The 25,941-nt window shown below is 38.0% G+C and overlaps 1 protein-coding gene and 1 non-coding gene across 3 annotated transcripts in view; both read left to right on the top strand.

Annotated features, from left to right (window-relative positions):
* Nucleotides 1-25,941, top strand: part of ZFR (zinc finger RNA binding protein) — a 90,391-nt gene that overhangs the window by 28,760 nt on the left and 35,690 nt on the right. For both annotated transcript variants that reach the window (NR_144318.2, NM_016107.5), the window contains exons 5-12: nucleotides 794-1,012; nucleotides 8,960-9,207; nucleotides 11,884-12,075; nucleotides 12,584-12,875; nucleotides 15,778-15,974; nucleotides 18,643-18,762; nucleotides 20,677-20,822; nucleotides 25,544-25,706. Coding sequence is in view for 1 of the 2 variants with exons in the window: in NM_016107.5 (NP_057191.2) it covers nucleotides 794-1,012; nucleotides 8,960-9,207; nucleotides 11,884-12,075; nucleotides 12,584-12,875; nucleotides 15,778-15,974; nucleotides 18,643-18,762; nucleotides 20,677-20,822; nucleotides 25,544-25,706 (1,577 nt within the window). In the remaining variant the exon portion in view is untranslated. The remainder of the gene's footprint in view (nucleotides 1-793; nucleotides 1,013-8,959; nucleotides 9,208-11,883; nucleotides 12,076-12,583; nucleotides 12,876-15,777; nucleotides 15,975-18,642; nucleotides 18,763-20,676; nucleotides 20,823-25,543; nucleotides 25,707-25,941) is intronic.
* On the top strand, nucleotides 21,506-21,603 carry MIR579 (microRNA 579). Its single transcript, NR_030305.1, has one exon. It is a non-coding gene; the product is annotated as a microRNA 579 (primary transcript).

Raw genomic sequence — 25,941 nt, 5'->3', positions numbered from 1 at the left:
AAAAAAAAAGATAAAAGTTCTAATGTACTTTTACTTAACTGAACAAAAAATGAGCTTGGCCCCGTGATTTTGGGCCTTTTTCAGAAATAACATTTATGTGCTTTAGTGATCATTTACAAGTGATTATTAATTTAGTCATAAGGCTTCTAAGACTCTTTCAAAATATACATTGTTTTGAGTATGTCAGAGGCAGCAAAGAAGTTGACAGACATCAGTGGCAGCCATTTAAGAATAGCTGCATTCAAGTTATTGACATTTGAAAAATTATGTAGTACCTTGTTAGATTGTAGTTCACTATGGAAAAATCAGTTAAAATGCAATGAATGGTATATGAACAAGTTTCATATGATTAAACATTGAAGTTTTTACTGTGAATTGAAATATGTACATTGTAACTCATTCTGTCCTGTTTCCAATATTAAGCCTAACTGAAGTAGACTGACTAGTGCGCGCGCGCGCGCGCGCACACACACACACACACACACACACACACACTCCTTTTCAGAAAAGTTTGTTTAGTGGTAGCACTGCTATTTCAGTTAGTTGTAAGTTTTGCCAAAATAATCATTTTGGAAATACATAGAAAGCATTTGGCAGAAGATAGTATATTTATTTGTATATTCTATTCATATTGGTAATAAGAGTTTTATGCCTTTTGCTAAGGAGAAATTGCTGGCATAAAATTTATAGTTAATGATGTTTGTACCTATTCTTTCCAGCTTTTTAAGGATACTGGTACAGTAACTATAGTGGCTTACTCTTCTAATTTTCTGATGTCTCTTTCCTACTTCAGCCCCCAAAGCAGGTTACAGCCAAGGTGCAACTCAGTATACTCAAGCCCAGCAAACTCGACAAGTGACAGCCATAAAACCAGCCACACCAAGTCCAGCTACCACTACTTTCTCCATCTATCCTGTATCCTCCACCGTACAGCCAGTAGCAGCTGCGGCTACTGTGGTGCCATCCTATACTCAGAGTGCTACTTACAGTACCACAGCAGTTACATATTCTGGTAAGACTGATAAACTGTGTTTAAATGAGTAAACAAATTAGGAAGAGACTTAGTAGAAACTATCTTGATTGTCTTTGAAATTACCTTACTCCCAATAATAGGAATTAAATTAATTGATAGACATAAATATAGGTACATAATGTGACTGTTCTGTAAATTGTATGCTTTTTTGGGGGCGTGGGGAGGAGAAGATCTTAGAAGAATATAATATGTTCTTGGGGGTTTTAAGGCTCATTATGAGTCTTGGGCTTAGCATTGCAATTAAAGGAAGTAACACCGAGTTTTCTACAGGATTGTTTACTTTCCTGCTTTTCCAAATGAAATTGAAAACTCAAGGTTAATACTCAGGGAATACCACAGACAAATTATTTCTGTTTATTTTGGCTCTCGAAGAGCTATTTATTATCAGAAATAGTTCATCATGGAAATGTTGGGTAGCCCTTTCTAAACATCCATAAGATGGTGGTTATGTAACACACCTTTTTTGGAAGAACAGAGTACCTTTATTTTCCTTAAATAATTATATATTTCTCCCAGAGAGGTACAATGGCTAAAACCTTTTTGTGTCCACTGCTGTTGCCAATTTCTAGCTGAGGAAGTTTGCATTTTCACAGTGATTAAGATCACACATTGCCTTTTTTGTAGAGACTCAGCTTTTGTATTCCTCCCAGAAGATATGCTGTGAATGACACTCTTTTATTTCTCAGAGATTTCTTATCTCTTACTCTAGGGTGCTAGGGATACAATGATGAATTAGGAATGCACGGAGTGTTTGAGAACTGCAGTTCATTGTGGCTGGAATACAGGATACATGGGGTAAATGTCAGTAGATGAGGCTAGAAGTGCCAGAGTATGTAAAGCCATGTGTGCTCTGCTATGGTGTGTGTCTTTATCTTGTGGGCAGAAAGGGAGCTGCAGAGGCTATATTAAGAAATGGAGCGGTGTGAGCAGATTTGTAAGTTAACCGGACAACCAGGTGGAAATGAATTGAATGAGGAGACATTAACATCTGAGAACTCTGGCTGGAGTGGTGAATGATGAGGACCTGCTCATCATTCACCAGTATGAATGATGGTAGAAAGACATTTTATAATCTATTAAAGGCATAGTACAGGAGATTCCTTATTTAGGAAAGAAATCTTTTGTTAAGATCTCAAGAAAATACTGAATTTATGATTCCTAGATCTGTCATTTAAGATAGATAGGACTTTACTGTCTCTCCCTATTTGGTTGACTAGCTATAATTGTAACTAGGATTATATTACAATGAAATCTGATTAGTCACATTTTTTTTAAATGTCCACATTAGCTTCAACAAAATAGGAAGTACCAGAGTAGCTTTTCCTGTTCATTGTTTCTCTCTTATATGTGCTTCCTTTCCTTTCTCTTTCTCTGGTTGTCTATACAGTATGAAGATAATTTTTATTTACATGAGTAATATATTATTATTTATAAATTAGAAACTATTTTTTTAGAAAGAGAAAAAAAGTTAAACCACTAGATTTCTACTCCTAGACACTAATTGTCATTAACATTTTAGTGCACGTCTCTGTCTACTTTTCTTCCATGGAATATACATGTGTAAATACGGTTTATAAAAATGCATTTGTCTTATACGTGCTATTCTGTAAACTGCTTTATTGTTACTGTGATTGCCTTTCGTGTCACTAAGTATAGATATATACCTCTGATTAATGTTTTTTCCCAACTTTTTATATCAGGTTTTTTTTGTTTTGTTTTGTTTTGTTTTTTGTTTTGTTTTGTTTTGTTTTTTTTGAGATTAAAAGAGTCTCACTCTGTCGCCTCGGCTGGAGTGCAGTGGTACCAGCTTGGCTCACTGCAACCTCTGCCTCTTGGGTTTAAGCGATTCTCCTGCCTCAGCCTCCCAAGTAGCCGGGACTACAAGCGTGCGCCACCACGCCTGGCTAATTTTTGTATTTTTAGTAGAGACAGGGTTTCGCCATGTTGGCAGGCTGGTCTCGAACTCCTAACCTCAAGTGATCCGCCCACCTTGGCCTCCCAGAGTGCTGGGATTACAATACAGGCATGAGCCACCGTGCCCGCCCCAGAAAATTTTAATTCTCCAGAAAAGTGGAAAAAAATAGTTCCAAGAACTATTTTTTATGCCATTCACCTAGGTTCACCAATTATTAATAATTTTTCAAATTTGCTTTATCTCTCCTTTCTCTTAAAGGCTATTTTCAAATGGCTCAGCAATATAAGTTTATAAGCAATATGCTTTACAAGTTGTAGATGACATGGTACTTTGCCCTGAATTCTTCAGAAGGTATTTCCCAAGAATAAGGACATTCTTTTATGTAGCCACAATGGCAACATTATGAAAAGGAATTGAACATGGATACTATACTATCTAATACATAAATTTGTCCAGTTGTCCAAAAATGTATTTAATGGCTGGGCTTTGTATGTATTTGGTGTATGTATGTTTGTGCTTGTGCTTTGTTTTTGAAATTGAGAATCTAGTCAAGGATCATGGATTGTATTTGGTTGCCATTCTTTGTTAGTTTGCTTTAATGTAGAACAGTTCCTTATTTTTATCTTGTCTCTCATGATAGTGATATTTTTGAAGTGTTCAGGCCAGTTGTCTTGTAGAATGTCCCATATCTGGATTTATCTGATGATTTATGTTTAGATTCAGGTAACTTTTTAGACAAGAAAATTACTTGACCAGCCTTCCATTTCATCACATCAGAAGCATGTAATAAGTAATGTTTGTTTATTCCTATTGATGCTGGCTTTACTGGTTAAAGCTGTGCCTATCAGATCTCTCCATTATAAAGATACCTTTTTCCTTTATAATGAACAAGTACTCTGTGGGCCTGTTGCTCAACTGTCTTTCACCCTGTGGTGGTAGATCCTTTGAAAACTGAATGAATTTCTACAGTGGTAGTTGCAAAATCCTTTCACATTGATCCTTAGGCATTCTTCTCTAGAGTTCCCTCCTTCCACTTCTTTTTTTGTTATTACTATGAACTTACTCATTTTTATTCAATGTACAGTCATCCCTGCTATCCATGGGAGATTGGTTCCAGGGCCCCCATTGATACCAAAATTTGTGGATGCTCAAGTCACATATATAAAATGACATAATATTTGCCTTTAACCTACGTACATCCTCTTAAATATGTTAAATTATCTCTAGATTACTTACAGTACCTAATACCATGTAAGTGCTATATATAAATGGTTGTTAAGCTGTACTGAGTTTTGTATTATATTTTCTATTCCCCGCCCCCCCTCAATTTTTTTTTTTTTTTTTGAGACAGCATCTCACTCTGTTGCCCAGGCTGGGGTGCAGTGGCGCAATCTCGACTCACTGCAACCTCTGCCTCCCAGGTTCAACCGATTCTTGTACCTCAGCCTCCCAAGTAGCTGGGGTTACAGGCGTGTACCACCATACCTGGCTCATTTTTGTATTTTTAGTAGAGACGGGGTTTTACCATGGTGGCCAAGCTGGTCTGAAACTCCTGACTTCAGGTTACCCACCTACCTCGGCCTCTCCAAGTGCTGAGATTACAGGCATGAGCCACCGCACCTGCCTCCGAATATTTTCAGTTCATGGTTGATTGAATCCATGGTTGCTGAACCGATGGATACAGAGAGCGACTATATTATAATCTGTTACTCTCATTTCTCTCTTTGAGGCTCACACAGTTTTAAATTTGCCCAGTGAGATCTGCTCAAACCAGCTCCTGAGTCTTTTTGACATATTCTCATTCGTCTTTGAACACATCTTTCCTCTTTGCCACTGAAAGTTATTACAGATACACTTTGAGCTTTCCCTGCCCTAGAGTCACGGTCAGCCATGTCACACAGGAGCCATGATTTCTTATAAATGCCAGTGGTATTTAGAAACCATTCTAATGGCCACAAAGTATTTTATTGTATGGATGTACTATGTTTTAAAGTGTGTATTTGAGGACATTTAGTTGTATATGAGACAGAAACTGGAAACAGCACTAGGTAGAACATCCTTACATGTAAAGATTTGTACATTTGCCCACTTGTTTCCCTAGGATAAATTTCTAGTTCTGGAACAGTTATAAAGTATCTGTTTTTTAAAGACTATGTGATACACAGTCCAGAGTTGCCAAATCAGAGAAACCATTGTTAAGGCTTCTGAGTTCTTTATCTGCAATTTTTGGCAGCTACAATTTTGGTCAGCTGTTCTCTTTATCTTAGTAAAATGAGTTCTAGAGTATTGCTACCTACCAAATGATGACTTGTAGCATGATGAATTTACTACTGAAATGTTAATTTTTTTTGTTTCTGGTATCATACATTTAAAAGCTATATGCCAGCTCTTCTAATATCATAGCTTACTAATTAATTTTTTTTTTGAGACTAGGTCTCATTCCATCACCCAGGCTGGAGTGCAGTGGCACCATCTCAGCTCACTGCAACCTCCACCTCAAGAGATCCTCCCACCTCAGCCTCCCAGGTAGCTGGGACTACAGACGTGAGCCACCATGCCTGGCTAATTTTTTATTTTTGTATTTTTTGTATAGATGGGGTTTTGCCATGTTGCACAGGCTGGTCTCGAACTCCTGAGCTCAAGCAATCTGCCCACCTCCGCCTCTCAAAGTGTTGGGATTACAGATGTGAGCCACCACGCCTGGCCTTGATAATGAAAGTACATTTTTTTTTTTTTTTTTTTTTTTTTTGGAGACAGTGTCTTGCTGTGTCACCCAGGCTTGGAGTAGAGTGGCACAATCCCAGCTCACTGCAACCTCCACCTTCTGCGCTCAAATGATCCATCCTGCCTCGGTGCATGCCACCACACCGGGCTAATTTTTTGTATTTTTAGTTGAGATGGGGTTTCACCACACTGCCTAGGCTGGTCTTGAACTCCTGAGCTCAAGTGTTCCACGAGCCTGACCTAGTAAAAGTACTTTTTAAGTGAAACTATTTTAGTTTTCAAAAACTGTGCTTTTACTTAATTTATAGACACAGATTTCTTTTTTTCTTTTTCTTTGAAACAGGGTCTCATTCTGTCACCCAGGCTGGAGTGTAGTGGCACTATCATCATGGTTTACTGCAGCCTCAGCCTCCTGAGTAGCTGGGACTACAGGCACACCACCACGCTTGGCTAAGCTGGTTTGAGCGGATCCCATTGGGCAAATTTAAAACCATGTGAGCCTCAAAGAGAGAAATGAGAGTAACAGATTATAATATAGTCACTCTCTGTATCCATCGGTTCAGCAACCATGGATTCAATCAACCATGAACTGAAAATATTCGGATGCAGGTGCGGTGGCTCATGCCTGTAATCCCAGCACTTGGAGAGGCCGAGGTAGGTGGGTAACCTGAAGTCAGGAGTTTCAGACCACCCTGGCCACCATGGTAAAACCCCGTCTCTACTAAAAATACAAAAATGAGCCAGGTATGGTGGTACACGCCTGTAATCCCAGCTACTTGGGAGGCTGAGGTACAAGAATCGGTTGAACCTGGGAGGCAGAGGTTGCAGTGAGTCGAGATTGCGCCACTGCACCCCAGCCTGGGCAAAAAAAAAAATGGGGGGGTGGGGCGGTGGAGAATAGAAAATATAATACAAAACTCAGTACAGCTTAACAACCATTTATATAGCACTTACATGGTATTAGGTATTGTAAGTAATCCAGAGATAATTTAATGTATTTAAGAGAACGTTTTAAATTTGAAAGCTGTGGATTTTACTTATAAGCCTACCTGAAAACTGGTAAACTGACCATTTCTAGACTAAGATCTCTGGAAATTTGGTAGACTGCCTATTCACCATATTTCAGTTAAATTTCCTTATTCCTGTAAGTGGTAATGGATGGGCAAAGAGTGATATAAAGCTTGAGAGAGATTCCTAGTTGACAGAAAAGCACAGAAGAACTGCTTACAGAGAATTAAACTTTTTGGTCTCTCAAATGCAGACTGCAATACTGAAAGACTTAGGACCCCCTAACTCCAATATGTCTGTACACATAGGGAAGGAAAAATAAATTGGAATGGTGAGAGCTAAAATGCGTGGAAAACCAGACATATCCAGGAGAAAAGTAGTCAGGCAACTTTTGAGAAAAGCCTTCTTAGACTTTTATGTTAGGCTACTATAGTATATAAAGTTTTAAGATAGAAAGTGTGATAATAGACAAGAAAACATCTGAAATGAAAATAGAAACAGGTAGCTGTATATCAGTGATAAAGCATGTATATGATCAGATAAAATTGAGAAAACAGTTGAGATAATTGCTTAAAACAAAATTTCTATAAACTAATAAACTCTACTGGGCAGTCCTACAAACGTCCTCTATTACTTACGAATGTGATAAAAGAACACAAGCTCACAGCCAAATGTTTTCAAGCTTACAGGCAAAAACATGTATAGTTTAAATTTTACTGTAGAGAAATGCCATAAAATTGTCCAGTTACCAATAATGAAGATGTTTTTAGATTTATTACCAAGTAGGATCATGATTTTTACATAATATCTTTATAACAGATATTTTCCAAATGACTTCAGTTCTTCTATATAGAAACTATACAAATGCCACAGAAATGTAACTTTATGAATTATCTATTAAGAAAATATGAAGCAGAATAAGGACAACAGAGGCCAACAGTGCTGAAAGAATAGTTCTTCTAGTTTTTTTTTTTTTTTTTTTTTTTTAATCAAACGTTCACAATACAGGAAGCAGTATGCCAGACACAGTGTAGTTTTTAGAACAGATCTATAAGGTAAGTATCACTATCCTTAAATATGAGAAAAATTAGGTTTAGAAATTGCAGTATCCTTTAAACACTGATCAAATTTAACCATAAAAATCACCAAGTTAAGCTTAATATTCATAAAATAATCTCTACTTGCACATAGGTAGTGTAAAACTAATAAAAGGCAAGTTTAGTTATAACTTACTACTTAGTTATAAAAATAAAGCATGCACTGAAAGGTGGGCTAAAGATTCTGGAACTCTGTTAAAGGGCATCTTAAATTCTCCTATAACTACTGGCAAACAAATGTACATTTCTTATAAAAAGCATTGTAGGAAAACAGATACAAGGCTGTGTCTGTGTCTGGCCTAGGCAACGTGGCGAAACCCCGTCTCCACGTTCACAGATTAAAAATCTGTAAATCACTGAACATAAGCAACATGTATATATTATATAAACAGCTTGCATAATGTACTTATTCACTGGAGTCTCTGAACAATGGAAATGGGTAGAATTCATACATTTAACCAGAAAACACAATGCTTTTTCATCTTTTGGAAGATGAGAACCAATGTATTGGTCCCTAATTCCTAAATCTTTAACAGTTGTTCTATATTTTCATCTGAACTTCAGTTCCACATCACAAACTTCTGCTAAACTTTATTTACCTTGCCTCCCCAGACTAGCATCTGTCAGCTTCTTGATTCTAGCAGTTGCACAGCCCATCAGTTGATCACTGGGGCTCCAGATTTTAGTGTCACATTTGTATGTTTTCCTCTTCTTTTATCTCTTTTGTCCTCTTAGCTACCAAGCATGTCAAATCTTACTTTCATGAGTTTTTGTTTTTCCTATCTAGTATCCTACTTCAGATTCTTCCTCAAATCCAACACTTCCTAAATTTTGTTCACAGGATTTTATTTGGGGACATATTAGCAGATTCTATAAACAGACAAGTTTGTCAAACACACTATCACATCTCTCCAATTAAACTATAAGGTTCTTCAAGGCAGGGACCAAATTTTACACTGTCTTTATACCTCTATAACACCTGGCATATATTGAGTAAATACTAGTTGATGACTTTCTTAGAAGGAAAATAAGCTTTTTTCTGGTTCTGTGAGATATACGTTTGTAAATATGCACATGTAAATCTATCTTTATTGGCAGGATTAATTTAATTTAAATTTGTAAATTTTAACTTGTCCTTCTATAAGTATGTAACATAATTTTTGTTTGATTTTTATTTGTAAGGTACGTCTTATTCAGGTTATGAAGCAGCAGTGTATTCAGCTGCATCTTCCTACTATCAACAGCAGCAGCAGCAACAGAAGCAGGCAGCAGCAGCAGCTGCTGCTGCTGCTGCAACAGCTGCCTGGACAGGGACCACCTTTACTAAAAAAGCACCATTCCAAAATAAACAACTGAAACCAAAACAGCCTCCCAAACCACCACAGATTCACTATTGTGATGTTTGTAAGATCAGCTGTGCTGGACCACAGGTACTTACGTTGTATGTTTTACCTTGAGTCTTCAGTGGTTATTAAGTGTAGTTGGTATTCTAACTCCTGAGCCTACTAAAAGAGGTTTACATTTTTTCCTGTTAGCTTTTAGCCAGTGCATTTTTTAAGTTACTTGTATTGTGGCATGAGAATTTTCAGGGAAAAAAAAACTGTAAAGATGATTGTGACTGTAAATGATAAATAGGCAAATTGAGCTTTTTTTTCCGGAAAGAGACTTTGTTCTTTAAAACTTAAATTTAGTTTTAAAATTTTGTAGTCAAATTAATTGCGACTTGGGTAAGATTGAATTTTTATTTCGTTGTGTTTTTAGCATCTGTAACTTACTTGCCAAAGCCTTTATTCAAAATTCTTTAACTTAATATAGCAGGTTACTGATAATCTATAATTTTCAGGATTGCATTTCTAATGAGACTGACTTTGATATATACTTTATAGTATGTTAGTTATTTCTGTAATCTCATAAGGGGAGTAGGAACTTCGGGAACAAGGAAGGTGTAAAGAAGTGTCTTTTTCAAAAATACCAATTAGTGAGGCATGTAAATGTAAAACCCTTATTCCTTTTTCGGTATTGTATTGTTTCTGGTTGCTAAACATTAAAACGGGTGATTATGACATGATTCTATTTATTAAAATTAATGGATTCAACTCCCAGCCTTATTATTATGCTTAAGAGTGTCAACTTTTTATATTAAAATTTGATAAACAGCTTGGCAGATAAAAGGCATGTTATTTGGAAACAACCAATTTTGACTCTCTACTAGCTTCTCCAAGTTATATCCATCTCTCATTTGCCCTACCTGTGTAACACGTTTACTTTACTGGATTAGTTTTCTCTACTTCTGAATTTTGGGGGGTATTTTCAGTTTCTAACATTCCCTGAGTTATACCAAATTACAGAACATTTTAATATATGTGGCTAGATATATAAAACCCTCTTTTCCCCTGTTTTGAGTATGGCAGGAAATAGTTTTGTTGTGGATTGCTTGGTTGGCAGGAGGTGACGGGAGGCAGGTGTGGCACAGGTAGGAAATGTTTGCAGGGACCTGGAGTAAACATGAAAGCGAACAAGAATGATGGGCGGTCTTAGTATTTAAGGAGCATTTCCTACTCTATGTTGACTGTTCAGAGGGGTTAGTGTCATGAGTGCCAGACTTGGACATAAGAAATTTATTGATTACCTGGCTTATATGAAAGTATACAGCGTGACGCTTGGGTGATAGATTAACAGCAGCATGTGGAATGAGTGCATATAAGGCTGGCTATTTTTGCTGTGCTGGGTGGTTAACAAAAAGAACAGGCCACAGGTATTTCTGCAAGTCAGTGTCAGTACCTTAAGGGGGTGGTTAATGAGCCTTAGCGAAAAATATCATTGAGATTGAGTTAGAGTTCTAGATGCGTACATAAGAAGGAAAAGAGTAAGTTGATTCAGCTTTTGGGGGCCAAGATTGCAGTCCTGGCTCTGCCACTAGCTATATAACCTTGGGCAATTTAGAGACCTTAACTTCTTTGGGCTTTTATTTCCTCACTTTTCTATAACAGGACTTGCCCTAAATAATTGAGGCTCAGACTGCTTGGTGGAGCTATTTCAGGCCACTGCAGATAATGAAAGGAAAGTCCCATCCAGCTCTGAATTGTATGATGAACATATAATTGTATGCTAATTATTTGTCAGTTTACAACTGTCTTTTAAGAGGCAGTTTTTAAAAAGAGAGTTTGAGACCAGCCTGGGCAACATGGCCAAATCCCATCTTTACCAAAAATATGAAAAATGAGCTACGCATGGTGGCAGGCACCTGTGGTCCCAGCTACTCAGGAGTCTAAGGTGGGAGGATCACATGAGCCTGGGAGGTGGAGATTGCGGTGACCCAAGATTGTGCCACCGCACTGAAGCCTGGGTAACAGAGTGAGACCCATCTCAAAAAAAGAGTAACAGAGGAACCATTTGGTCCTACTCACAAAACTGTCCAGTTGTTCTTACTAATATCCTCTCGTATTAATTAACAGCCTTCCTCAATCATGTGCATTCACAATGATTTTTAATATGTAATTTCACTATTTATTGGCTAATGTAACTATAATACTATTTTTGCTTGCAAGTATATACCATATTGGCCCTCATGTATTTTAAATAAGCATTCATTTAAGGGCCATGGATTCTAATACAGATTCTATGTCAAAATGTATTCTGAATTAGAAAAGTCAGTTTTATAAACATAGCTGTTTGTAAAGAATCTTGTTCCACCATACAGTAACTTTTTCTTTCTTCTAATGGTATAGGCACATCTCCCCCGCCTCATCTTAACCCTGTAACTAAATATAATTTCTTTATGGAATGATCACTGTCTATTATTCTCTGTCCAACATTTATATAAGCAACAAAAGATAAAATTTTTAAAACTGAAAGCCATTGCCTTATATTATGGCTATATATGAAAGTACTTTGTAACTCAGTGTTAGATAATATTCTTGATAAACAAGATACAGAGAACCATAGATATGTCACATATGTAACGAATGCCACATGCCCTTTTTCAACTTAAAAAGTTTGTTTTGGTCTCATTTTTAGATGAGTATTAGAGATTTCTTGAGAATTGAATAATCTTAATGTGTAAAGAAAATTAGTGAAGCAAAATGTTTCCTTTTTATTTGAAACAGACTTATAAAGAACATTTAGAAGGACAGAAACATAAAAAAAAAGAAGCTGCATTGAAAGCCTCACAAAATACCAGCAGCAGCAACAGTTCTACTCGTGGGACTCAAAATCAGCTACGTTGTGAGCTCTGCGATGTGTCTTGTACAGGAGCAGATGCGTATGCTGCCCACATTCGTGGTGCTAAGCATCAGAAAGTAGGTGTTTTTTTCCCACACACCCTTATGCCTTGATTCTGTTATCTTTTACTTTTTCAAAGGGGGTTAGGTAAAGGTAACTTCAAAGTTCGAAAACTTTTAAGTGCATTATAAGCCTTGCTTATGTGCTAATAATACATAAAGGTGACATCAAATAATCATTGCTAAAAGAGGGAAAGACTGGAGACCTGTCTTTAAATTGAACTAAACCATTTATTTCACTAACTGGGAATTGTCATGTGATCATTTTTAATGTAGCCAAGTCTGTTCATCTTTCTCTACCTCAGTTTCCTCACCTAATAGTAGATGGAATATGTATGCATATTTGCTTCACAGAGATTATCTTGAAAGTAATGAGTTTTGTATATGTGTGTATATACAAAAACATATAGCAGAAAAAATACAACAAAGAAAAGCATGGTTTAGATTTTCATTTTATAATGTTCCAGGCAGACTTTTCAAAATCTATTTGAGTTTCCTGACAAATAAGTGTGCTTTTGTTTTATAGGTGGTTAAGTTACACACAAAACTTGGTAAACCCATTCCATCAACAGAACCAAATGTTGTTAGCCAAGCTACTTCTTCAACAGCTGTATCTGCTTCAAAGCCGACTGCCTCTCCTTCAAGCATTGCAGCAAACAATTGTACTGTGAATACGTCATCAGTTGCAACGTCTTCAATGAAGGGTCTTACGACTACAGGAAACTCGTCTCTTAATAGCACATCTAACACTAAAGTATCAGCAGTGCCTACAAATATGGCTGCCAAGAAAACATCTACCCCCAAAATAAATTTTGTTGGCAAGTACTGATATTCTCTGTCCCTGCTGACTCTGTCAAAGTGTTGTTTCTTCTCCATTGCAGCACTAACCCTTCTCCCTGTGTTCTTGGACCTGCCTCCTCCCTTCTCTCTGGGACCTTGTTTCTTCACATATCTGCCTAGTGTGTGTGTATTTTTAATTTTTATTCCATCGTCTACTGGTTTCTTCCCTTCAGCCATACAGATATATCTGTGTCTTCCTCTAGTCATTTAAAAAAAAAAGATCTGCACACACAAAGACCCTTTTCCCATTTCTCTAATCTTAAGGTAACCTGATTGGTTTTTTTTGTTTTTTTTTTTTTCATTTTTGAGACAGAGCCCCACTCTGTCACCGAGGCTGGAGTGCAGTAGCACGATCTTGGCTCACTGCAGCCTCAATTTCCAGGGCTCAAGCGATCCGCCCACCTCAGTCTCCTGAGTAGCTGGGACTATAGCTGTGCTCCATCACACACAGCCAGTTTTTTTTTTTTTTTCTTTTTTTTGGTAGAGATGGGGTTTCACCACATTGCCCAGACTGATCTCGAATTCTCCTGAGCTCAGGTGAGCTGCCTGCCTCAACTTCCAAAGTGCTTGGGTTATAAGCATGCACCACAACGCATGGCCCTGATTTTTTCTCTACGTCTGTACTTCCTACCCAATCCTCAGTCTGCTATAGTGTTTCTACTCTGCCTTTTTCTGAAGCTGCTTTCAGTAGTCACCAAAGACCTAATTGCCAATCCAGTGGCCAGTTTTCAGTTTCATCCTATTGACTCTCCTAATACTTGACACAGTTGACTGCTACACCTTTAGGCTTAAGATACATCTCTGTCTCTCAATTATGTGTCCATCCACCCCTTTCTCAGTTTTCCTTATTGGTTCTCCTGCCTATGTGTTCATTAAATGGTAGTGTTACTAAGATTATAACCCTGGCCCTCGTCTCACTGTCCGCCTCTATTAATGGGTGGTCTCATTCATTCCCATGTGGGCAGTGACTTTTAAAATCTTTCTGGTAAATTCAAAACCCCCACCTGAGTTGGACAGCCACATTTTAAATATTCCCTGGACATCTTTTATATGGCGGTGTGGATGCCTCCCAATGTGTCTCATTCTAACCCATTAATTCATGAGAAGAGTACCATGAAATAATGTCATAAAATTGCAGATTTCTGAAGTGGAAAATCCACTAACATTATTTCTTTGTTTTTATTGCCTTCTCCAGCTGTTTACCTAGTCTTGTTTCTATCTCTATAATATTTCTACAAAAACTTCTTCGTTGCCATTGCCCTTTTTTAGGCCTTAAAAGTCTCTTCCTTGGAGCTTTATTTCTTACTGTACCCAATCTCAACATATTCTCCACACTCTTATTTCATTAAAATACATATCTATTGTGTTAGTCTTCTGCTCAGCAGCCTTCCACTGCAATAGGATAAAATCTGTAGTCCTCATTTGTCATATAAGGCCCATCATTACCTGACCCATGCCTACCTTTCCAGCCTCATAACTCATCCATGCTACCTGTGTAGTAATTCATATTGAATTACTGGCTCTTCCTTGAGTTTACCATAGCCTTTTTCACACCATGTTGCTGTGCTTTTATGTACATGCTATTTTTTTCTTTTTAAACGTCATTCTTTTCTTTCTGACCAGTTCATATTCTTTCAAATCCCAGTTCAAGTGTCACACCCTTTGTGAAACCTTTCCTTACTGGATCATGTTAAAGGGTGGTGGCTCCTTCTAAATTTCCGCAATATTCAGTCCATACTTCTTATAGTGCTTATCACATTGTATTATCGTTATTTGTATCTTCCCATAAATTGGACACTTGAAAGGCAGCTACATTGTCTTCTCTTTACTGTATTACCAGAACTTAGCGCCGTATCCAGATTGTTGTAGATACTTAAGAATATTTTTGAAAGAAAAGTTTAAAAGTAGGAGATTCACAATTAACATGCTATTCTCTTGGACAGTTAGTTGAAGTGTTAAGTTTAATTGATGATAAAAATGAAAGCTATTATTTATAGTCACTTCTACATCAGTTTCTGAGGTTCTTCATACTTTCAGTTTAGAACAATAATAGAAAATCTTTTGTAAATAAGTTAAAGGAAATAAACAGTGATAAAACCTAAATTGGTTCTGTTTCCTTCCCTGGTGGGAAACTTTGTTTGGACTAAGTTTGCAGAGAGACCTAATCATTGAACTTAACTTTTTTTAATTTTTCTAAATTGTAGGGCATGACCTAGATGTTACCCCCAACTTTTTTGGGAGACAGGGTCTGACCAGGCCTGGAGTGCAGTGGTGCGATCTCAGCTCACTGCAGCCTCTACCTCTTAGGCTCAAGCAGTCCTTCCACCTCAGCCCCACAAGTAGCTAGGACTGCAGGCATGCACCATCACATCCAGCTAATTTTTGTAGTGACCAGGTTTTGCCATGTTCCCCCGGCTGGTCTCAAACTTCTAGGCTCAAACTCCTGGGCTCAAGTGATCCTCCCACCTCTGCCTCCCACAGTGCTGGGATCATAGGGCATAAGCCATCACACCCAACTGGAAGTTAGCAGTTTTTAAGGAACAAATACTACTCATTTCAGTCACTTGCCAAGAAACTAGGGCTACAAACATCAATTAGGCTTAGTCCTTACCATTTCAGGTACTTGCTATTCACTTTGAGGGGGGATGAGGAGGGTGTTGGGTGTTCCAAGATGGAAAAGAGAAAAATTCAGAAACGTATTTCACTAATAGGGTAAAAAAGCCAAGTAGTTTATGTAGTTCTTCAAAATTCTCATCTGTTGTATGTCAGTTAGGAGTTTGACTATTAGCAGAAAAGAACTTTATCTGAAGTTTTCGTCTTATCAGGTATATATATTTATACAAAAATAAAATTTTTTTTAACTTTTTGATACTTTTCTAGGTGGTAATAAGCTGCAGTCAACAGGAAATAAAGCAGAAGACATAAAAGGAACCGAATGTGTTAAAAGTACTCCTGTCACTTCTGCTGTGCAGATTCCTGAAGTAAAGCAAGACACAGTGTCAGAACCAGTCACACCTGCATCTCTTGCTGCTTTACAGAGTGATGTGCAGCCAGTGGGCCATGATTATGTGGAAGAGGTAATTGATTTGAGAATACCATTGCTGTGAAATTGGATAAAGGGAAGAAGTGCATTACGAGCATATGTTACGTGTAAAATTAAATATACTTAATTGTATTTTAGATTTAGCTTACTTAAAGAATATTAAAGGAATCTTTGTTATAAGAAAGCATGTCCTTTAAGCCTGCCTAAGTGACATCATAATGATTTTTTTTTTGCTAACTTTTATATTATTTTCCCTGTGTATTGCCACTGTGGTGTGCAAAGTAACTTTCTATTTACTAGCAAGCATTCTTGTAATACATCCTTCAACTATCATAAAACTTTAAAAGTTCTGAGCAGCAAAAATGTTGATAAAGAGAACCAATATATTTATTTTTGAATAGTCAGTTTTGTGATAAAATTAAGTTTGCTGATTTAACAGAATATATTCATTTGGTTTCTCAAGTGGAGTAGAAGACTGTTGCTGTTTTACAGGTAAAGTAAACTCAGTAAAATAAAGGAGTGAAGGGATATCAGAGGGGACTGGATAAATACCTGCTGTTAGCAGAAAGACATACAGTGGCATATGACTACTATTTACTTTGACTTTAGAGCATATATGTTTTTTGAGCTTCAGTGTCGATATCTATAAAATTGGGATATTCCCTAACAAAGTTGTGAAGAGTAGATGAAATAAAGTACCTAGCATGGTGTCTAGCATCTAGGAGAGTTTTTGTTTTTGTTTTTGTTTTTGTTTTTGTTTTTGTTTGAGACAGAGTCTTATTCTGCCACCCAGGCTGGAGTGTAGTGACACAGTCTTGGCTCACTGCAACCTCTGCCTCCTGGGTTCAAGCAATTCTTCTGCCTCAGCCTCCCAAGTAGCTGGGATTACAGGTGCATGCCACCACCCCCAGCTGATTTTTGTATTTTTTTTAGTAGATGGGGTTTCACTATGTTGGCCAGGCTGGTCTCGAACTCCTGACCTCATGATCTGCCTGCCTCGGCCTTCCAAAGTGCTGTGATTACAGGCGTGAGACACTGCGCCTAGCCTAGTAGGTTTTAAATAAATATTTGTTCTTGCATCATTTTTCCTATCAAGAAAAATTATCTATGGATGGCCAGGCACAGTGGCTCACGCCTGTAATTGCAGCACTTTGGGAGGCCGAGGTGGGTGAATCACTTGAGGCCAGAAGTTCAAGGCCAGTAGTTGCGCACACTTGTAATCCCAGCTACTCGGGACGCTGAGGCACAATCACTTGAACCTGGGAGGTGGAGGTTGCAGTGAGCCGAGATCACACAACTGTACTCCAGCCTGGGCAATAGAGTGAGACTCTGTCTCACAAAAAAGAAAAGAAAACAAGAAAAAGAAAAATTGTGTATTGAATTCTTTGTTTACAAGGTGGATAGCTGGGTTATGGAATTTATAATTAGTTCAGAAATAATTCTGACTTTTAAGTTTCATCTCTTAAAGGAGTAAGATTTGATTATCTCAAAAAAAGCTCTCAACCAGAACACCCAATTTTTGATGATACTGTTTAATCCTAAACTTCAGAGAATTACATTCAGAACCTATCTTAAAGCTTGGACAATTTGAACTCAGTATTCATAATAGACTTCATAGTAAGACTCAAGTTTACTTGTCCTCCTATAACTGTTCAGTTAGAAAAAATTTCATCTTAATTTTCCATAAAGTTACATATTATAAAACCTTGAGCTTTGAGAAATTTTGTATACCAAAATAATGCTATTATTCGTCGTTATCTTCATTTTCAAGAACAATACTTGGCCAGCAGCAATTATTCAGTAACTATTAGAAAATTTAAGACATCTAGCTACATTTAAATCTAAATGCTTACATACATACAAAAATATTAAATTGAAAGATAGTGGCCAGGCATGGTGGCTCACGCCTGTAATCCTAGCACTTTGGGAGGCCGAGGCGGGCGGATCACGAGGTCAGGAGATCAAGACCATCCTGGCTAACACGGTGAAACCCCCATCTCTACTAAAAATACAAAATTAGCTGGGCGTGGTGGTGGGCACCTGTAGTCCCAGCTACTCGGAAGGCTGAGGCAGGAGAATGGTGTGAACCCAGGAGGCGGAGCTGGCAGTGAGCCGAGATCGCACCACTGCACTCCAGCCTGAGCGACAGAGCAAGACTCCATCTCAAAAAAAAAAAAAAAAAAAAAAAAAAGATACAAGAGCAAACACATGCTATCACATCTTGCATGCTAAAATTCCAACTTTTCATTCCCATTTCTACAGTTTCTATCCTTTTAAAAAGTAATAGGCCAGGCGCAGTGGCTCATGCCTGTAATCCCAGCACTTTGGGAGGCCAAGGTGGGCGGATCACAAGGAGTTTGAGACCAGCCTGGCCAACATGGTGAAACCCTGTCTCTACTAAAAATACAAAAAACAAATTAGCCGGTCGTGGTGGTGTTACATACCTTTAATCCCAGCTACTTGGGTGGCTGAGGCGGGAGAATCGCTTGAACCCAGGAGGCTGAGGTTGTAGTGAGCTGAGTTCAAACCACTGCACTCCAGCATGGGCGACAGAGCAAGACTCTGTCCTGGGGAAAAAAAAAATGTAATAGACATTGCCACTTCTTTCTAACTGTGTACAACTTCATCAAATAATATGTGGGGGTTTATGAATGATATAATCTTCAACTATGATGATTCTTGAATTTTTTTTCCACACCAAGGTACGAAATGATGAAGGAAAAGTAATTCGGTTCCATTGTAAATTATGCGAGTGCAGCTTTAATGATCCCAATGCTAAGGAGATGCACTTAAAAGGGCGAAGACACAGACTTCAATATAAAGTGAGTAAAATTTCAGCTATTACCTTCTTTAAAACAAAAAACAAAAACAAAAACACCCAGAGCATTCTTTATGTAAAAGAAAGCATCTAAACACAGCTTGCCAAGTCCATGATGTCCCATTCTAAGATTAGCATGTCATGTTGGTAGACTCAGATGGATGTTTGGTTTTTATTTATCCATTTTTAAAATAAAGAAGAATAACATTCTCATCAGTTTTAGTAATTGTGGCAAAAACTGAAGCATTGCCTGGACCAAGCAATCATGTAAAGATAATTAATTCACATAAAATGTTTGAAAAAAGTCTCAACTATTTATCCACCTTCTTTATCTGGTAGAATTCCCACCAAAATGAACTTTGAGATGAGTTGATATGTTGGAAAATCCCTTCACTTATCTTAGCGTAGGAATTCTTCACTGAATACACTTCAAATGTTAAGATAAATCAGATATTGTATTTGAAGTTTTTTTTTTTAATGAGATGGAGTCTCGCTCTGTAGCCAAGGCTGGAGTGCAGTGGCATGATCTCGGCTCACTGCAGCCTCTGCTTCCTGGGTCCCTGTTCAGGCATTTCTCCTGTCTCCGCCTCCCGAGTAGCTGGGATTACAGGCATGCACCCCCATGCCCAGCTAATTTTTGTATTTTTAGTAGAGATGGGGTTTCACCATGTTGGCCAGGTTGGCCTGAACTCCTGACCTCATGATCCGCCCTCCTTGGCCTCCCAAAGTGCTGGGATTACATGCGTGAGCCACCGTGCCTGGCCTGTATTTGAAGTTTTTAACTAGGCTAGATTGATGTACTAGATCCATGTTTTCTGTTTTAAACACGGAGGAGGTGAAAATTAAAACAGTGTAAAAGGGTAGTACTTAAATATGTAAAGAAACTTTTTAACCCCAACATAGACATTTAGAGTCATCTGTTTATAAACAGTTACAGTTGACCCTTGAACAACATGGAGGTCAGGGGCCCCTCACGCAGTCAAAAATTTGCCTGCCTTTTTTTTTTTTTTGAGATAGGGCCTTGCTCTGTTGCCCAGGCTGGAGTACGATGACATGAACATGGCTCACTGCAACCTCCCGGGCTCCAGTGATCCTCCCACCGCAGCCTCCCAAGTAACTGGGACTACAGGCATGTGCCACCATGCCTGGCTAGCTTTTGTATTTTTCTAGAGAACGTTTCACCATGTTGGCCGGGCTAGTCTGAAACTCCTGGCCTCAAGTGATCTGCCTTCCTTGGCCTCCCAAAGTGCTGGGACTCCAGGCTGCTTATAACTTTTGACTCCCTAAAAACTTCTAAAAGCCTACTAATGACCAGAAGCCTTACTGATAACATAAACAGTTATTTTTATGTTAACACATTTTTGGTATGTCATGTATCTCATATATACTGTATTCTTAGAATAAAGTAAGCTAGAGAAGAGAAAATATTATTGAGAAAATATGAAAATCAAAATATTTACTATTCATTAAGTGGAAGTGGGTCATCATATAAAGGTCTTCATCCTCATCATCTTCAAGTTGAGTAGGCTGAGGAAGAAGAGGAGGGGTTGGTCTTACTCTCTCAGGGGTGGCAGAGGGAGAAGAAACTCAGCAGCATAGATGTAAGTGTATTCATATACTTCAAACCCCTGTTGTTCAAGGGTCAAATGTAAAGTAAAATTAAATATCCATTAGTTTTTCTAAGGATTTCATGACTTTTTGTTGGTCAGCACTAAGTTACATACTTTTTACATAATTTTTATTAATGTATTTTGAATCTTTTCTCTGATTTACCTTAATTATATTGATTTTACTCTCTAGTGGGAAACTTGCAACTAAAAGCCTCCGTGATTAAAGAATAAGTGTAATTGTATGATTAAAAATACATGTAGATTGTTTTGGGGCTGCTGTTTTTTAAATGTCTTATTTATATTAATAGAAAAAAGTAAATCCAGATTTGCAAGTAGAAGTAAAGCCTAGTATTCGAGCAAGAAAGATTCAAGAAGAGAAAATGAGGAAGCAAATGCAGAAGGAGGAGTACTGGCGAAGACGAGAAGAAGAGGAGCGTTGGAGAATGGAAATGAGGTAATATCTTTAACTTTTAATAGCCTGGTAAGTGGTTCAGCCTTTCTTAAAAACTTAGCCATTCTGAGCATGTGACTCCCATTCAAAGCAATCCAGATTTATTTACTTCCAATTTTCACTCTTGAGGAAGATCCTAGGTCTAGGAAAGACATGCATTAAAATTGTTACTGGCTATACTAATATTTTACTGTGGCCTTGGTATTAGAGTTATATGTTTAAGTGGCATCTTTTATAAATTAAACATATGAAGAAATAGTTTCATATTATAAATAAGTGCCTCGGTTTCAAACAAGCAAAATAGACATACATTTCCTGATAGAAGTATAAGATTTGATAGATTCTACATGTTAATAATGTCCATAAAGAAACTTTAGTGGCTACAGGGAAGGAGAATTGAGAAAACATATTTCAAATATTTGTTTATATATATATAAAGATACAAATGTTAAGTTTTATTGAAATATAACATATCTTCTAAACTTATACAGTGACAGAGTTGTGTAACAATCACCACAATCAATTTAGAACAGTTCATCACCCTCAAAAGAAATCACGTACCCATTAACAATAATTCCCCATGTGTCCCACATACCTAGTATCTCCCCCAGCCCCAGCCCTGGACAACCTCTAACCTTTCTGTCTCTATAGATTTGCCTATTCTAGAGATTTCATATAAATGGAGTCATATTAGGTTAATGCAAAAGTAATCGCGGTTTGTGCCAGATGACGATTTGAATTAATAAATTCATTTGGTATAAACCGCGATTATTTTTGCATCAACTTACTACAGTCTATGGTCTTTTGTGTCTGGCATCGTTCACTTAGCGTGTTTTCATGGTTCATCCAGATTGTAACATGTTTCAGTATTCCATTGTCTTTTATGACTAAATAATACTGAATAATACATCCTTATGTACCACATTTTGTTTATTCGTTCATTAGTTGATGGACATGCAACTTGTTTCCACATTTTGACTATTATGAGTATTGCTGCTGTGAATATTTTTGTATAACTTTTAAAATACAGTTTTAGCAGAAACATACCATACACGTATTTTCATAATCCACTTTTTTCATTTACATACCTTCAACTTTAAAAACTAAATTCGGATTATTTTGTTTTTCATGAGGACATAGTAATTTTTGTGCATATGTAAAATTTTCTTCATAACCAATCCTTGTTGTTATTGTTTAGATATTTAGGTAGTTTCCAGTGTTTCCTTATTATAGTTATTAATATCTTGACCCTCCTTGAGGCACTTTTTTGTTTCTTTCACCAAGTATGTGAACCTATTGAGGCGATATTACTGCATACATTATCGTTAGTTGCTAATAATAGAATATGGGAAATGGAAATGTTTGAAGGATGCTCACATGTCTGCCTATACTGGATAGCATAACTCAGTGGTTCTCAAACTTTTTGGTCTCAGGATCCTTTATCCTCAATTATCAAGGACTCCAAAGAGTCCTTATGTGGGTTATACCTGTCAAGACTTACTGTATTAAAAATTAAAACTGGCCGGGCACAGTTGCTCATACCTGTAATCCCAACACTTTGGGAGGCTGAGGTGGGTGGATCACCTGAGGTCGGGATTCAAGACCAGCCTGACCAACATGGAGAAATTCCCATCTCTACTAAAAATACAAAATTAGCCGGCGTGGTGGCGCATGCCTGTAATTCCGGCTACTCAGGAGGCTGAGGCAGGAGAATTGCTTGAACCCGGGAAGAGGAGGTTGCGGTGAGGCGAGATCGCGCCATTATACTCCAGCCTGGGCAACAAGAACAAAACTCCGTCTCAAAAAAAAAAAAAAATTTAAAACTAAGAAATTTAAATATTTGTTAATTCATTTTAAAATGACATTTTAATTATTTTTTGAAATATGGTTACATGTATATTTGTTAAAATATTACACGATATATTTAATCAATAAAATACAGTAAAAAAATTATTCCACAGAATAGTGGGAAAAGTTATGCTATTTTACATTTTTGTACATCTCTTTAATGTCTGGTTTTAACAGAAGGCAGCAAGATTCTCATGTTTGCTTTTGTGTTCATATGTGGTGAATAACACATGTTGCCTCTGGATAATTTCACTGTACATTTAGAATGAAAGAGCAAGTAAGTGTCTTTAGTATTTATTATGAAAATAATTTTTTTTTTTAAACAGAGTCTCACTGTGTTGCCGAGGCTGGAGTGCAATGGCACGATCTTGGCTCACTGCACTCTCCACCTCCTGAGTTTAAGTGATTCTCTTGCCTCAGCCTCCCAAGTAGTTGGGATTACAGGCACCTGCCATCACGCCTGGCTAATTTTTGCATTTTTAGTAGGGATGGGCTTTCACCAGGTTGACCAGGCTGGTCTCAAACTCCTGGCCTCAAGTGATCTGCCCGCCTCGGTCTCCCAAAGTGCTGGAATTACATGTATGAGCCACCACGACTGGCCTTATTGTGAAAATAATTTTGACCCCATGGATCTCCTGAAAGGGTCTCCGGGACCACTTGGTGTCCCTGAATTGCACCTGGAGAACCCCTGCTACAGCTTAATAAAATCTCTACCAATTAAATGTGATAGCCATTTTGTTTCAGTTTGAATTGTTTTCATGTTTGGCTATTTATACTTCTTTTGTGGTAAATTGCTTGTTTTTTCTTATGTGTTGATTTGTACAGACGTTTCTTACGTTGTTATTATTAATAATCCTTTTTATGGGTTACCTTTAAATAGTTTTTACTATTATGTATGTGTTGGTTTTAATTTTTACACATTTATCAGTTATGTCCTTTATGAAGTTTCTGCCTTTGTAACATATTGGGAATTCTCTTCTATAGCTAGATTATACAGTGCTTTCCTCTTTCACTGATAATACCAACTATTAAGCATCCACAGTGTGCCAGGAACTGTATTAGGTAGTGAGCACAAATTGGTAAACAATGGATAAAGGTCCCTGCCCTTATTTGACTTAAACGTTGTTAGCAACAACAGTAAACTATTAGAAACTGAAACGAACAGGATTTTCCAGAACGTTTAAGCTGTTTTTATTCATTTTTTCCTCAAAGCCTAAATAACATAGATAGAAGAATGGTTTCTATCAGTCCCTAGTTGGTTAATCCTAAAAAGCACTGCTGGCTGGGCACGGTGACACACTGCCTGTAATCCCAGCACTTTGGGAGGCCAAGGCGGGCAATCAGTTGAGCCCAGGAGTTTGAGACCAGCCTAGGCAACATGACAAGACCCCATCTCTACAAAAAATACGAAAATTAGCTGGGCGTGGTGGTGCACACCTGTATTCCCATCTGCTTGGGGGGCTGAGGTGGGAGGATCACCTGATCATGGGAGGTCAAGGCCACTGCAATGGGTGACAGAGTGGGACTCTGCCAATTTAAGGGAAAAAAAAGCACTGCTTATTCCCAACCTGAGGAAATTGGTAGTTTCTGTAATGGTAGTCAGGAAGCGCACTTCTTTCTTATATGTTAACAGATGACATTAGTAAAACCTTAACCTAATTGTTAACAGAATTTGCTGTAGACACATGGTTTCCCTTGGGAATTATTGGTATCCTAGTTTGAAGTTGAAAATGAGGAAAGAACTGGGAGGGCAGAGGGGAGGAGATGGTAAAAAAAAAAAAAAAAAAAGAGTAGATTTCGCATATGTTGGTCAGTAAAGCAGAGGCTGTACACTAGCTGCCCACATTCTGAGTTCAGCTCAGAGGTGTTATATTTGGTATGCATAGTATTTTGTAATCTGAACCAGCAACCGTGAAGTTTCACAAAAATCCTGATGACCTCAGCAACACAGCCTGTGCAGTAGTCCCTCCTTGTCCAAGGGGGTTACGTTACAAGACCACCAGTGGATACCTAAAATCGCAGGTTGTACCAAACCCTGTATATGCTATATGTTTTCCATCTGATAACGGTGTTAGTTACTAAGCAACTAATAGGCTAGTAGGGTGTATACTGTGTGGACATGCTGGACAAAGGGATGATTCATAGGTGGGATGGAGCTGGACAGCGCAAGATTTCATCACACTGCTCAAAATTGCACAAGATTTAAAACTTACGAATTGTTTCTTTCTGGAACGTTCTTTTCTATATTTGTATACTGTGGTTGACCATAGGTAACTGAAACCACGGCGATGAGAATGGTGGGGACTATTGTATTCCCTTATGGCAACAATTAATAGGAGCTGAGTTGCAGCAGCTGTTATCTCTAGCCAGGACAAGTTCTTTACCATAATTCCCAACACCCTTAATGTGTCCCCAACAGTAAGACTGACTATGACTTGCCATTTATCACTGCCTTGCACTGTTTTTCTTCATAGTAGAGACATAGGAAAGAGCATGTTTCTTTGAGGACATGAAGAAAATTCCCAAATGTTGATCTGTGCACTTCAGGTCATTTACTCACAGTGTTGGCCTGCCTCCTTTAGGTGGCATTGGGTTTCTAATTCATACTTAAAGCAGGAGAGAGGTAAGAAACTGAGGTTTCTGATGCCTGTTCTTTTTACTTTTTCCTCAGGCTGAAATTTTCTGCTTTTCATGCTCTTTTCTCTTTCATTTACTTCGCAATGAAAGCAAACATGGAAAATCAGATACATTTGGGAAGAAATTTTAGCTAGGCTGATGTTGGTGGGGTTTTTTATTGCTTTTTATGTCACTATTGATGCAAGTTCTTGGGCTGTATTTTTCCTCATATGCTTATAATGTCATTCTTTATGTTTCAGACGTTATGAAGAGGACATGTACTGGAGGAGAATGGAGGAAGAACAACATCATTGGGATGATCGCCGCCGAATGCCAGATGGAGGTTATCCTCATGGTCCTCCAGGCCCATTAGGCCTTCTGGGAGTCCGACCAGGCATGCCTCCTCAGCCTCAGGGGCCTGCAGTGAGTGTCCACGTTGGTGATACAAGGGGTGAAAGTTTGACTGGTTCAGCATTAGAAGAAAACAATTTTGGAGGGGCTAATGTTTAGACTTAATAATCTTGTAATCTTGGTAGTTTTTTTGAGACAGAGTCTTGCTCTGTCGCCCAGGCTGGAGTGCAGTGGCGTGATCTCGGCTCACTGCACGTAACGTGCGCTTCCCAGGTTCAAGCAATTCTCCTGCCTCAGCTTTCCAAGT

The sequence above is a fragment of the Homo sapiens genome, chromosome 5 (assembly GCF_000001405.40).
Source record: "Homo sapiens chromosome 5, GRCh38.p14 Primary Assembly".
Classification (NCBI taxonomy): Eukaryota; Metazoa; Chordata; class Mammalia; order Primates; family Hominidae; genus Homo; species Homo sapiens.
This window is presented reverse-complemented; position numbering and strand designations above follow the sequence as displayed.